Source organism: Homo sapiens, chromosome 3 (assembly GCF_000001405.40).
Source record: "Homo sapiens chromosome 3, GRCh38.p14 Primary Assembly".
NCBI classification, from domain to species: domain Eukaryota; kingdom Metazoa; phylum Chordata; class Mammalia; order Primates; family Hominidae; genus Homo; species Homo sapiens.
Window position 1 is genome coordinate 57,331,914 of NC_000003.12, and position 12,351 is coordinate 57,344,264.

General features: G+C 40.1%; 1 protein-coding gene across 8 annotated transcripts in view, besides 3 other annotated features; it reads right to left on the bottom strand.

The window, feature by feature from the left end:
• The window catches only part of DNAH12 (dynein axonemal heavy chain 12), a 262,335-nt gene that overhangs the window by 38,214 nt on the left and 211,770 nt on the right, over positions 1-12,351 (bottom strand). For all 8 annotated transcript variants that reach the window (XM_047447667.1, XM_011533468.2, XM_047447668.1 and 5 more), the window contains 2 exons: positions 2,869-3,027; positions 2,552-2,696 (listed from right to left, as the gene is read on the bottom strand). In XM_047447667.1, the coding sequence (XP_047303623.1) occupies positions 2,552-2,696; positions 2,869-3,027 (304 nt within the window). The remainder of the gene's footprint in view (positions 1-2,551; positions 2,697-2,868; positions 3,028-12,351) is intronic.
• Positions 7,009-7,537: an enhancer, noted in NCBI's record as "NANOG hESC enhancer chr3:57372950-57373478 (GRCh37/hg19 assembly coordinates)". NCBI's record gives its function as "activates a minimal SCP1, AML or CMV promoter by ChIP-STARR-seq in naive H9 embryonic stem cells {active_cell/tissue: H9 hESC(naive)}" and the evidence as "EXISTENCE:reporter gene assay evidence [ECO:0000049][PMID:30033119]".
• Positions 7,009-7,615: a biological region, named in NCBI's record as "NANOG hESC enhancer GRCh37_chr3:57372950-57373478".
• Positions 7,415-7,615: a silencer, noted in NCBI's record as "peak4667 fragment used in MPRA reporter construct". NCBI's record gives its function as "represses an SCP1 promoter by STARR-seq MPRAs in K562 erythroleukemia cells {active_cell/tissue: K562}" and the evidence as "EXISTENCE:reporter gene assay evidence [ECO:0000049][PMID:32103011]".

Genomic DNA, 12,351 nt, shown 5'->3' on the forward strand with positions numbered 1-12,351 from the left:
GTGGTATCTCATCACCCTGGCCTGCTTTCAGCAAGAATTTTGTTAGGTCAGGGTAGCAAGAATTCCCCCTACCCTTGGTGTCTCTTCTTAGTAATTTCCCCCCACCCTGCTCCTTGACTATAAATCCCCAACTGTCTCTGCTGTATTTCGAACTAAGCCTGAGCTCTCTTTCCTACTGTGATAGTCTTGAACAAAGTCTTCCTTACTGCTTTAACATTTGTCATGAATAATTTTTTAACATTACTCAAAGTTTAAACTAGATGTATGAACATGGTTTCTTGTTTTCTTTCTATTACAAAATTATCCCTTTGTAATACTATGATCACCTTTCTTAAATTTGTGAAAATTGGTGTCAGCCTACTTATCTTACCTTTAGAAAGATTTCTGTGCATGTTTGAACTAATAAAATTGTGACATGTACAAAATTTTCTGCCATCTTCTACTTTTAGCTATGATGTGGTTATAGGGATTGGATTTACCCTACTACCACAAACAATTTAAAAAACAGGCACAATTAATGAAACCACCATTTTTGCACAGGGGGCAATAGGTGGTATAGGACTGTGATCACTGAGAAAAAGAAAACAAACTGAACGCTATTCTCTCAGCTTTCTTCTTGGAGGTATGCTAGACTGTGGAACAGCGAGAGTGATTAAGGCAGAGCAATGCAGTGTCACTGAGTTGCAAAAACAAGAAAAAGACTACAAAGGGGCCAAGGCTGCTGGAAGTTGCAGAGTTCTAATTAGGATAGAACTGTCCAGGCAGAGTTCAGAAATCTGCTCACAGTACCTCTGAATCCTTGCTGAACACTATGGTGTGTATGCATGAGACCAAGAAAAGAGCATCTGAGGTGCTGTAACCAGGAGATCTGGGGAGCTACCACTGTTCATGAAGGCTGGGACTCATTCAGGTTCCCAAAAGCCATAGAGAGTCCTTAGTGATCGCTTGGAGCATTCAGTAAAGGCCCCAGACGGGTGGCACTTTGGTAGAGCTAAATAATGCATTGAATAAAGGCTATTCTAGACCATCCTAACAAATCTTAAACAATATTTGAAAGGAACAATTCAAACTTCAGTAATTTAACTACATAACCACAGAAGTTGATAAACGTTCTGTAGAGGGCCAGATAAGAAATATTTTAGGCTTTGTGGGACATATACAGTTTCTGTTGCATGTTCTTTTTTATTTTATTATTATTTTTTATGAGACAGAGTCTCACTCTGCCACCCAGGCTGGAGTGCAGTGGTTCGATCTTGGCTCACTGCAACCTCTGCCTCCCAGGTTGAAGTGATTCTCTTGCCTCAGCTTCCCGAGCTCGAACTCCTGACCTAGCGATCCACCCACCTCAGCCTCCCAAAGTACTGGGATTATAGGCATGAGCCACCGTGCCCGGATACATGTTCTTTTTAAGGCAACTTTTTTTTTTTTTTTTTTTTAGATGGAGTCTCGCTCTGTCACCCAGGCTGTAGCGCAGTGGTGCGATCTCTGCTCATTGCAACCTCCGCCTCTCCAGTTCAAACAATTCTCCTTCCTCAACCTCCTGAATAGCTGGGACTACAGGCATGCACCACCATGCCTGGCTAATTTTTGTATTTTTAGTAGTGACAGGGTTTCACCATCTTGGCCAGGCTGGTCTTGAACTCCTGACCTCAAGTGATCTGTCCTCCTCGGCCTCCCAAAGGCCAGGATTACAGGCATGAGCTACTGTGCCCAGTCAAAACTACTCTTTTTAAAAATATAAAAAACATTCTTAGTTCATGGGATGGACCAAAGACATCGTGGGGCTGGATTTGGCCCACAGGTGTTTGTTGACCCCTGAACTAGCAGGACAGAACTCAACAATCTTTATAGGAAAATGAAATCTAACTCATCAACAATGTGATATTCACAATGTCCAGTATCCAATCAGACATTATTAGACATGCCAAAAAGCAGGAAATTATCATGTATAACTAAAAGTAAAATCAGTCAATAGAAACAGATCCAGAAATGATGGAATTAGTAGTCACTAATTTTAAAACAGTTATTATAACTGTGTTCAACTATTTAAAAGAAAATATTAGCAGATTAAAAAGAGAAATAGGATACACAAAAAGAACCAAACAAATTTTTTAGAGATGAAATACACAATTACTAAAATTAAAATGGGAAAGGGATTTGTAGCAGATTAGACAATACAAAAGAAGAAATCAACAAATGTAAAGATAGCAACAGAAACTACCCAAACTGATGCAAGGAGATACCACGGCTTAAAAAATAATTAACAAAGTATCAATTACATTATATTACATTAGCATCACATTAGGCAATCTAATATATGTGCAACTGAAATCCTGGGTGGGGTGAAATAATATTTGAAGAAATAATAACCAAAAATATTCCTAAATTGAGGAAAACAGTAAACCCACAGATCTAAATCCAAAGAGCTCAATGAACTGTAAGCTGGATAATCAATCTGAGAGTTAAAGAATCAAATAACAAGAACTTTAAGCCTAGCACTTCATAAATGGCAAATTATCTGGGTTCCAAATAGAACACATTGGTCTTTTACCTTATCAGGTCTTAAACACCGAAGAATTATTATTTTCTGTAGTTCATTTAGGTTCTTATCCATTGGTGCTGGAAATTTAGCATTATGTGGCTCTTTACTGTCATAGATTTCTCGCCATTCATATATATGTTCACAAAAATGTTGCCTAATAGAAAAAAGCTTAAGAATTATTCTTTTTATTGGGAAAAACTTAAAAGAGATTGTTGAACAAGGAGTAGAAACCAGACAGCTATTTAAAACCATTTAAAAATCACTAAATTGAAGAACAAGTTTACATATTGCCATTCAATGATAAATCATCGAATTTAAACAATCACCTGAGTCCTCTGAAGGCAGGAAATTCACTTGCCCGACAGATTTCCTCCCAGCTTTTGTCCTGTAGCCAAGTTGGATCAGGATTTTTCTCAGCACTTTTAAGACTTACTCCTCCAGTTAAAAGAAACATCAGTTCCTGGTATTCAATCTCTTTCCTTGCCCTGTATTCCCAAAATAAGGACTGTTATATAATTGTTGATTTTAAAATTGAATGATGTCAACTTCCGCTTTTGTAACCTGGATAGAACAACTTAGACTGTACTTACCCACCTGCTGTAAACAACTAGAAAACTGGACAAAATTAATGAAACAACTGTTTTTTTGAAATTGTTCAATAGCCAGTGCAGGACTGTGGCCTCTGAGAGAAGAGAGGTGAATAAGGTGATCCCCGTTCCTCAGCAGGCTGCCTGGCACTTTCTAGACTACAGAGCAGGGAGGTGTGATCAGAATCAGAGCTCTGCAGTATTGCTGAATTGAGGAAACCGGCATTAAGTTCTCCTCAACAGTATTGCTGAGTTGAGGACATCAGCATTAGGGAAAGCTTAGGTGACTGGAGTTTGTGAGCAGAGGAGGAAGATGAATGGAAAAGGTGAATGAATGTCTTAAAAATCTACAGAGGTGCTCTCTTGGTTCTACTGATAAATACAGCCAGGCATTGCTCATAGAATTCTTAGTCACGCATTCTAAGAAGTGTGTTGTTAGGCGATTTCATCATTGTGTGAACATCATAACGTGTACTTACACAAATCTAGATGGTGTATATGGTATAGCCTGTTGCTCCTAGGCTATAAATCTGTACAGCATATTACTGTACTGAATACAGTAAGCAGCTGTAACATAATGGCATGTATTTGTGTATCTAAACGTAGAAAAGAACAGTAAAAATATGGTATTATAATCTTATGGCACCGCTGTTGCATATGCAGTTTGTTGCTGACTGAAACATTGTTATGTGGCACATGACTGTACTAAGAGATGCATCAGTAAGGTAAAATTCCAGGAAGCCAGCAAAAGAACATCTAAGGGGCTGTAAACTGAAAGCTCCCAGAGATCACACAAGACTAAGAAATATAAGTTATTGCCAACCAGAGTTGAGTCTTTGTTCAGCACCAGAGGAATTCAGGTCTCCTTAGTGGTGAAGCTAACATAGCCTTAGAGTAAAGGTTACTCTAAAACTACTGTAAGAAAGCTTAAACACAAGTCGTCTTCTTTTTTTTAAGAGATGGCGAACTGCTCTGTCATCTAGCCTGGAAGTGCAGTGGCACAATCATAGTTCACTGCAGCCTCAAACTTCTGAGCTTAAGTAATCCTCCTGACTTAGCCTTCTGAGTAGCTGAGATTAGAGGTGTGGGCCACTGCACCTAGAATAAGTCTTGAAAAGATCAAACTAATCCAGTAGCAATTTAACTACCTAAAAGAGTGAAGTCTAAAGCTCTTTAAAGGAATACAAAATGTCCAGCATTTACCAATATAAAATTCACAGCATCCATAACCAGGAAAAAAATTGGTCTTAGATGTAGATGTAGATGTGAAAGAGATAATTTAACTAGCCAGTAAGAATGTTAAAGTAGTTATCATAAACATGCTGAAGGAGTTAAAGCAAAGTATGAACATAATAGAAGAAATAGGCAATATTAAATAGACCAAACACAACTCCTAAAAATAAAAATACATAATCTGTTATAGGAATAGAAAAAAACCTAAAGATAAAAATATAAAAATTGAGATATTTACTTATTTCTTTTCCAGATGTATAGATATTGAAAAGATTCATTACAAGTAGACCTACACTACAAGATATCTTAGGGGAAGTTTCAGATAATTGGAACTCTGGATCTACACCAAAGAATAAAGAACAATAGAAATGGTAACTTTGTAGGTAAACATAAAAGATTTTTTTAAAAAATCATTAATATTTAAGTGTCTGTAAAAGATAATGTCAGGAATTTGGAAGTCATCACTCACATCCTCACAATAAGAAAAAAGCTGAACAAACTGAAAATCAGCAACTTTTCTTAGATGCATCAGAGGACTGAGGTCATATGGCTAACTCACTACCTCCCAACTGGTAAGAGACAGATAAATACAGAGAATCCTAAATTACTTGAGCAGAAGCTCAGGTTATTATCAATAATAACCTTGCATGTAAACAAATTAAATCCCCCAATTAAAATATATAAACTGGCTAAATGAATAAAAAACACCCAACTATATGCTGCCTACATGAAACTCACCTCACCTGAAAAGACAGAGACTGACAGTAACAGGATGAAAAGAGATATTCCACACCAATGAAAACTAAAAGGAAGTAGGAGTAGCTATATTTACATCAGAAAAAAACAGACTTTAAGTTAAAAAGTACCAAGAGACAAATAATAACATTATATAATAATAAGGGAATCAATTCAGCAAGAGAATATAACAATTATAAAAATACATGCACCTGGCCAGGCACGGTGGCTCACGCCTGTAATCCCAGCACTTTAGGAGGCCATAGGCAGGAGGACTGCTTGAGCCCAGGAGCTCCAGACCGGCCTGGGTCACATAGGGAGACCCTCTATTTTAATAATAAAATTTTTGTAAAAGAGAGAACTTTTCAGCTGGGCACGGTGGCTCACGCCTGTAATCCCAGCACTTTGGGAGGCCAAGGAGGGCAGATCACCTGAGGTCGGGAGTTCAGGACCAGCCTGACCAACATGGAGAAACCCTGTTTCTAATAAAAATAGAAAATTAGCCAGGCATGGTGACGTATGCCTGTAATCCCAGCTACTTGGGAGGCTGAGGCAGGAGAATCACTTGAACCTGGGAGGTGGAGGTTGTGGTGAACCAAGATTGTGCCATTGCACTCCAGCCTGGGCAAGAAGAGTGAAACTCCATCTCAAAAAAATATATATATGTGTGTATATATATATATGCATCCAACACCAGAGCACCCAGATATATAAAGCAATTATTATTAGATCTAAAGGCAGAGGTACACCCCAATACAACAACAGTTGGAGACTTCAACACCCTACTCTTAGCATTGGACAGATCATCTAGACAGAAAGTCAACAAAGAAACTGCAAATTTAAACTGTACCATAGACCAAAAAGACCTAGAAGACATTTACAGAACATTTCATAGTACTTGCAGAATACACATTCTCTTCATCAGCACATAAAACATTCTCCCGGATTGGCCATATGTTAGGACACAAAAAAGAAACCTTAAAAAATTGTTTCGCTCTCCCTCTCTCTCTCTTCTCTCTCTTTCCACGGTCTCCCTCTGTTGCTGAGGCTGGACTGTACTGCCGTGATCTTGGCTCGCTGCAACCTCCCTGCCTCGGGCTCCCGTGATTCTCCTGCCTCGGCCTGCCGAGTGCCTGGGATTGCAGGCACGCGACGCCATGCCTGACTGGTTTTTGTATTTTTGGTGGAGACGGGTTTTGCTGTGTTGGCCGGGCTGGTCTCCAGCTCCTGACCTCGAGTGATCTGCCCGCCTCGGCCTCCCGAGGTGCTGGGATTGCAGACGGAGTCTCGGTCACTTAGTGCTCAATGTTGCCCAGGCTGGAGTGCAGTGGCGTGATCTCCGCCCGGCTGCCCCGTCTGGGATGTGAGGAGCGCCTCTGCCCGGCCGCCACACTGTCTAGGAAGTGAGGAGCATCTCTGCCTGGCCGCCCATCATCTGGGATGTGGGGAGCGCCTTTGCCCGGCCGCCCCGTCTGGGAGGTGAGGAGTGCCTCTGCCCGGCCGCCCTGTCTGGGAGGTGAGGAGCGTCTCTGCCCGGCCGCCACCTCATCTAGGAAGTGAGGAGCGCCTCTGCCCGGCCACCACCCCGTCTGGGATGTGAAGAGCATCTCTGCCTGGCCGCCCCGTCTAGAAAGTGAGGAGCGCCTCTGCCCGGCCACCCCGTCTGGGAAGTGAGGAGCGCCTCTGCCCGGCCGCCCCATCTTGGGGGTGAGGAGCGCCTCTGCCCGGCCACCCATTGTCTGGGATGTGAGGAGCGCCTCTGCCCAGCCACCCCGTCTGGGAAGTGAGGAGCACCTCTGCCTGGCCGCTGTGCAATCTTCCAAGTGTGAAGTGACAGCCTTTCTGCAGGTGTACCCAACAGCTCCGAAGAGACAACGACCATTGAGAATGGGCCATGGTGACGATGGCGGTTTTGTCGAAAAGAAAAGGGGGAAATGTAGGGAAAAGAAAGAGAGATCAGATTGTTACTGTGTCTGTGTAGAAAGAAGTAGACATAGGAGACTCCATTTTGTTCTGTACTAAGAAAAATTCTTCTGCCTTGGGCTGCTGTTAATCTATAACCTTACCCCCAACCCCGTGCTCTCTGAAACATGTGCTGTGTCAACTCAGGGTTAAATGGATTAAGGGCGGTGCAAGATGTGCTTTGTTAAACAGATGCTTGAAGGCAGCATGCTCGTTAAGAGTCATCACCACTCCCTTATCTCAAGTACCCAGGGACACAAACACTGCGGAAGGCCGCAGGGTCCTCTGCCTAGGAAAACCAGAGACCTTTGTTCACGTGTTTATCTGCTGACCTTCTCTCCACTATTATCCTATGACCCTGCCACATCCCCCTCTCCGAGAAACACCCAAGAATGATCAATAAATACTAAAAAAAAAAAAAAAAGAAAGAAAGTTGATCTCATGAGAAAGAGTAGAACAGAGGCTGGGAGGGGTTGGCAGGATAAGGATAAACTTGTTAAAGGATACAAAAATTAAAGCTAGATAGGAGGAATAAGTTCTACTGTTCTGTAGCACTGTAAGATGACTATAGTTAATAATAATTTATTATATACTTTCAAATAGCTAGAAAAGAGGATTTTGAATGTTCCCAACACAAATCATAAAACTTTGAAAAAAAATTGTTTCAATTGAACTAATATTAAGTATCTTATCTGACCACAATGGAATAAAAGTATAAACCAATAACAAGAGGAACACTCAGAACTATACAAATACGTGAAAACTAAACAACATGCTCCTGAGTGACCAATTGATTAAAAAAAGAAGTTAAGAGAGAAAGTAAAAAATACCTCACCCCTGTAATCCTAGCACTTTGGGAGGCTAAGGCAGGCAGATTGCTTGAGTCCAGGGATTCAAGACCAACCTGGGCAACATGGCAAAACCTTGTTTCTACCAAAAACAGAAAAAATTAGCCAAGTGTGGTGGCATATGCCTGCAGTCCCAACTACTTGGGAGGCTGATATGGGAGGATTGCTTGAGCCCAGGAGGTTGAAACCACAGTGAGCTGTGATCATACCACTGCACTCCAGCATGGGGGACAAAGTGACACCCTGTTTCAAAAAAAAAAAAAATTCCTTGAAGCAAATGAAAATAGAAACACAGCATACCAAAATGTATGGGACACAACAAAAGCCATGTTTATAGCAAGTTTACAGCAAGTATAGCAAGAGGCAAGTTTATAGCAATAAATGCCTACATTAAAAACAGAAAGATTTCAAATAAATAAGCTAATGATGCACCTCAAGAAACTAGAAAAGCAAGAACAAACCAAACTCAAAATTAGAAAAAGGAAAAAAAAATAAAAAGCAGAAATAAATGACATTGAGACTAAAAAAATAGAAAAGATCAATGAAACAAAAAGTTGGTTTTTCAAAAAGATCAACAAAATTGACAGAGCATTAACTAGACTAAGAAAAAAAGAGAAGACCCAAATAAAATCACAAACAAAAGGAGACATTACAGTTGATACTGTGGAAATACAAAAGATCATCAGAGACTATTATAAACAATTATAAACTAATCAATTTGAGAACCTAGAGAAGATGGGTAAATTTGTTGACACATACGACCTATCAAGATTGAACCAAGGAGAAATAGAAAACCTGAACAGATCAATAATGAGTAATGAGATTGAATCACAGTAATGAAAAGGAAATCAAGAAAGAAAAGTCCAGGACCAGATGTCTTCACTGCTGAATTCTACCAAACTTTTAAAGAACTAATATTTTTAAAAATTCTTCTCAAACTATTCCCAAAAATTGAAGGGGAGGGAATTCTTCCAAACCCATTTTACAAGGCCAGCATAACCCTGACGCCAAAACCAGATAAAAACACAACATAAAAAAACTAGACCAATGTCTCTGATGAACATAAATGCAAAAATCTTCAACAAAATCTGAATTCAACAGCACATCAAAAATATCATACACTATTATCAAGTGGATTTATCCTAGGGATGCAAGGATTATTCAACCTACACAAATAATGTGAGACATCACAACAGAATGAAGGACAAAAACAACACGATCATCTCAATAGATCCAGAAAAAGCGTTTGATAAAATTCAATATCCCTCATAAAACTCTCAATAAATTAGGCATAGAAGGAAGTACCTCAACACAATAAAGGCTATATAAGACAAACCCACAGCTACCATATACTGAACTGGAACAAGACAAGGATACCCACTCTCATCACTCTTATTCAACATATTAATAGTACTGAAAGTCTTAGCCAGAGCAATTAGGCAAGGGGAAAAAAATGAAGGGCATTCAAATTAGAAAGAAGGAAGTCAAATTGTCCCTGTTTGTGGATGACATGATTTTATATATAGAAAAACTTAGACTCTACCCAAAAAACTCTTAAAACTAATAAATTCAGTAAAGTTGCAGGATATAGATATCAACATACAAAAATTGGTGGTGTTTTTATATAAGAACAATGAACTAGCTGGAAAAGAAATCAAGAAAGTAATTCCATCTGCAAAAATTACAAAAAATAAAATACCTAGGAATAAATTTAACCAAGGAGGTGAAGGCTCTCTACAAGGAAAACTTAAAAAACACCAAAAAACAATGATTTTTTGAAAGAAATTGAAGAAGACATCAAAAAATAGAATGACATCCCATCTTTATGGATTAGAAAAATTAATATTGTTAAAATGACTCTACTACCCAAGGTGATCAAAAGATTCAATGCACTCTCTATCAATATACCAATGATGTTCTTCACAGAAATAGAAAAAAAAAAATCCTAAAATTTGCATGGAACCACGAAAGACCGCAAATAGCCAAAACAATACTAAGCAAAAAGAACAAATCTAGATGCATCACAGTACCAGGCTTCGAAATATACTACCAAAGCTCTATTAACGAAAACAGCATGGTACTGGCATACAACCAGACACACAGACCAGTGGAACAGAATAGAGAACCCATAAATTAATCCATGTATCTACAGCCAACTGACTTTTGACAAAGATGCCAAGAACATTGATTGGGGAAGGACAGTCTCTTCAGTAAATGGTTCTGGGGAAAATTGGATATCCATATGCAGAAGAGCAAAACTAGACTCTCTCCTCTTATTCTACACAAAAATCAACTCAAAATCTCTTCAAGACCTAAATGTAAAACCTGAAGCTATAAAACTACTAGAAGAAAACCTGGGGAAATGCTTCAGGACATTGGTCCTGGAAAAGATTTTATGAATAAGAACTCAAAAGTACAGGCAACAAAAGCAAAATATAAATAAGTGGGATTATATCAAACTAAAAAAGCTTCTGCACACCAAAAGACACAACACAATGAAAAGACAACCTACAGAATGGGAGAAAGTATTTGCAAACTGGCCAGACGTGGTGGCTTATGCCTGTAATCCCAGCACTTTGGGAGGCTGAGGCAGGTGGATCATGAGGTCAGGAGTTCGAGACCAGCCTGGCCAACATGGTGAAACCCTATCTCTACTAAAAATACAAAAAAAAAAAAAAAAAAAAAAAATTAGCCGGGCATGGTGGTGGGCACCTGTAAACCCAGCTACTGAGGAGGCTGAGGCAGGAGAATCACTTGAACACAGGAGGCAGGGGTTGCAGTGAGTCAAGATCGCACCACTGCACTCCAGCCTGGGCGACAGACTGAGACTCAAAAAAAAAAAAAAAAAAAAAGGAAAGAAAAGAAAATATTTGTAAACTATTCATCCACCAAAGAATTAATATCCAGAATATACAAGGAACTCAGACATGTCAACAGAACAAAAAAATCTAATTTTTAAATGGGCAAATGAGGCTAGCATGATGGTTCATGCATGTAATCTCAGCACTTTGGGAGGCCAAGGCAGGTGGATCACTTTAGCCCAGGAGTGCGTGACTGGGCAACACAGCAAAACCCTGTCTCTACAAAAAGAAAAATACAAAAATTAGCCAAGCATGGTGGCTTGTGCCTGTGTCCCAGCTACTTGGGAAGCTGGGGTGGAAGGATCACCTGAGCCGGGCAGGTGGAGGTTGCAGTGAGCCAAGAAAGTGCCACTGCACTCTAGCCTGGGTGACAGAGTGAGACTCTGTCTCAAAAGAAAAAAAAAATAGGCAAATGATCTGAACAGACAGTTCTAAAAGGACAACACACAAATGGCCAAAAACACATGAAAAAATGTTTGATATCACTAATAATTAGGGAAATTGTGGGGAAAAGAAAGAGAGATCAGACTGTTACTGTGTCTAGATAGAAAGGGAAGACATAAGAGACTCCATTTTGAAAAAGACCTGTACTTTAAACAATTGCTTTGCTGAGATGTTGTTAATTTGTAGCTTTGCCCCAGCCACTTTGACCCAACTACTTTGACCCAACCTGGAGCTCACAAAAACATGTGTTGTATAAAATCAAGGTTTAAGGGATCCAAGGCTGTGCAGGACTTGCCTTGTTAACAAAATGTTTACAAGCAGTATACTTGGTAAAAGTCATCGGCATTCTCTAGTCTCAGCAAACCAGGGGCACAATGCACTGCGGAAAGCCGCAGGGGCCTCTGCCCTTGAAAGCTGGGTATTGTCCAAGGTTTCTCCCCATGTGATAGTCTGAAATATGGCCTTGTGGGATGAGAAAGACCTGACCGTCCCCCAGCCCGACACCTGTAAAGGGTCTGTGCTGAGGTGGATTAGTAAAAGGGGAAAGCCTCTTGCAGTTGAGATAGAGGAAGGCCACTGTCTCCTGCCTGCCCCTGGGAACTGAATGTCTCGGTATAAAACCCGATTGTACATTTGTTCAGTTCTAAGATAGGAGAAAAACCGCCCTATGGTGGGAGGCGAGACATGTTTGCAGCAATGCTACCTTGTTATTCTTTACTCTGCTGAGACGTTTGGGTGGAGAAAAACATAAATCTGGCCCACATACACGTCTAGGCATAGTATCTTCCCTTGACCTTAATTATAACATAGATTCTTTTGCTCACATGTTTTTTGCTGATCTTCTCCTTATTATCACCCTGTTCTCCTTCTACACTCCTTTTTGCTAAAATAATGAAAGTAATAATCAATAAAAACTGAGGGAACTCAGAGGTCGATGCCGGTGCAGGTCCTTGGTGTGCTGAGTACCGGTCCCCTGGACCCACTGTTGTTTCTCTATACTTTGTCTCTGTGTCTTATTTCTTTTCTCAGTCTCTCGTCCCACCCAACTAGAAATACCCACAGGTGTGGAGGGGCAGGCCACCCCTTCAGGAAATGCAAATCAAAACCACAGTGAGATATCATCTCACCCCAGTTAGAAT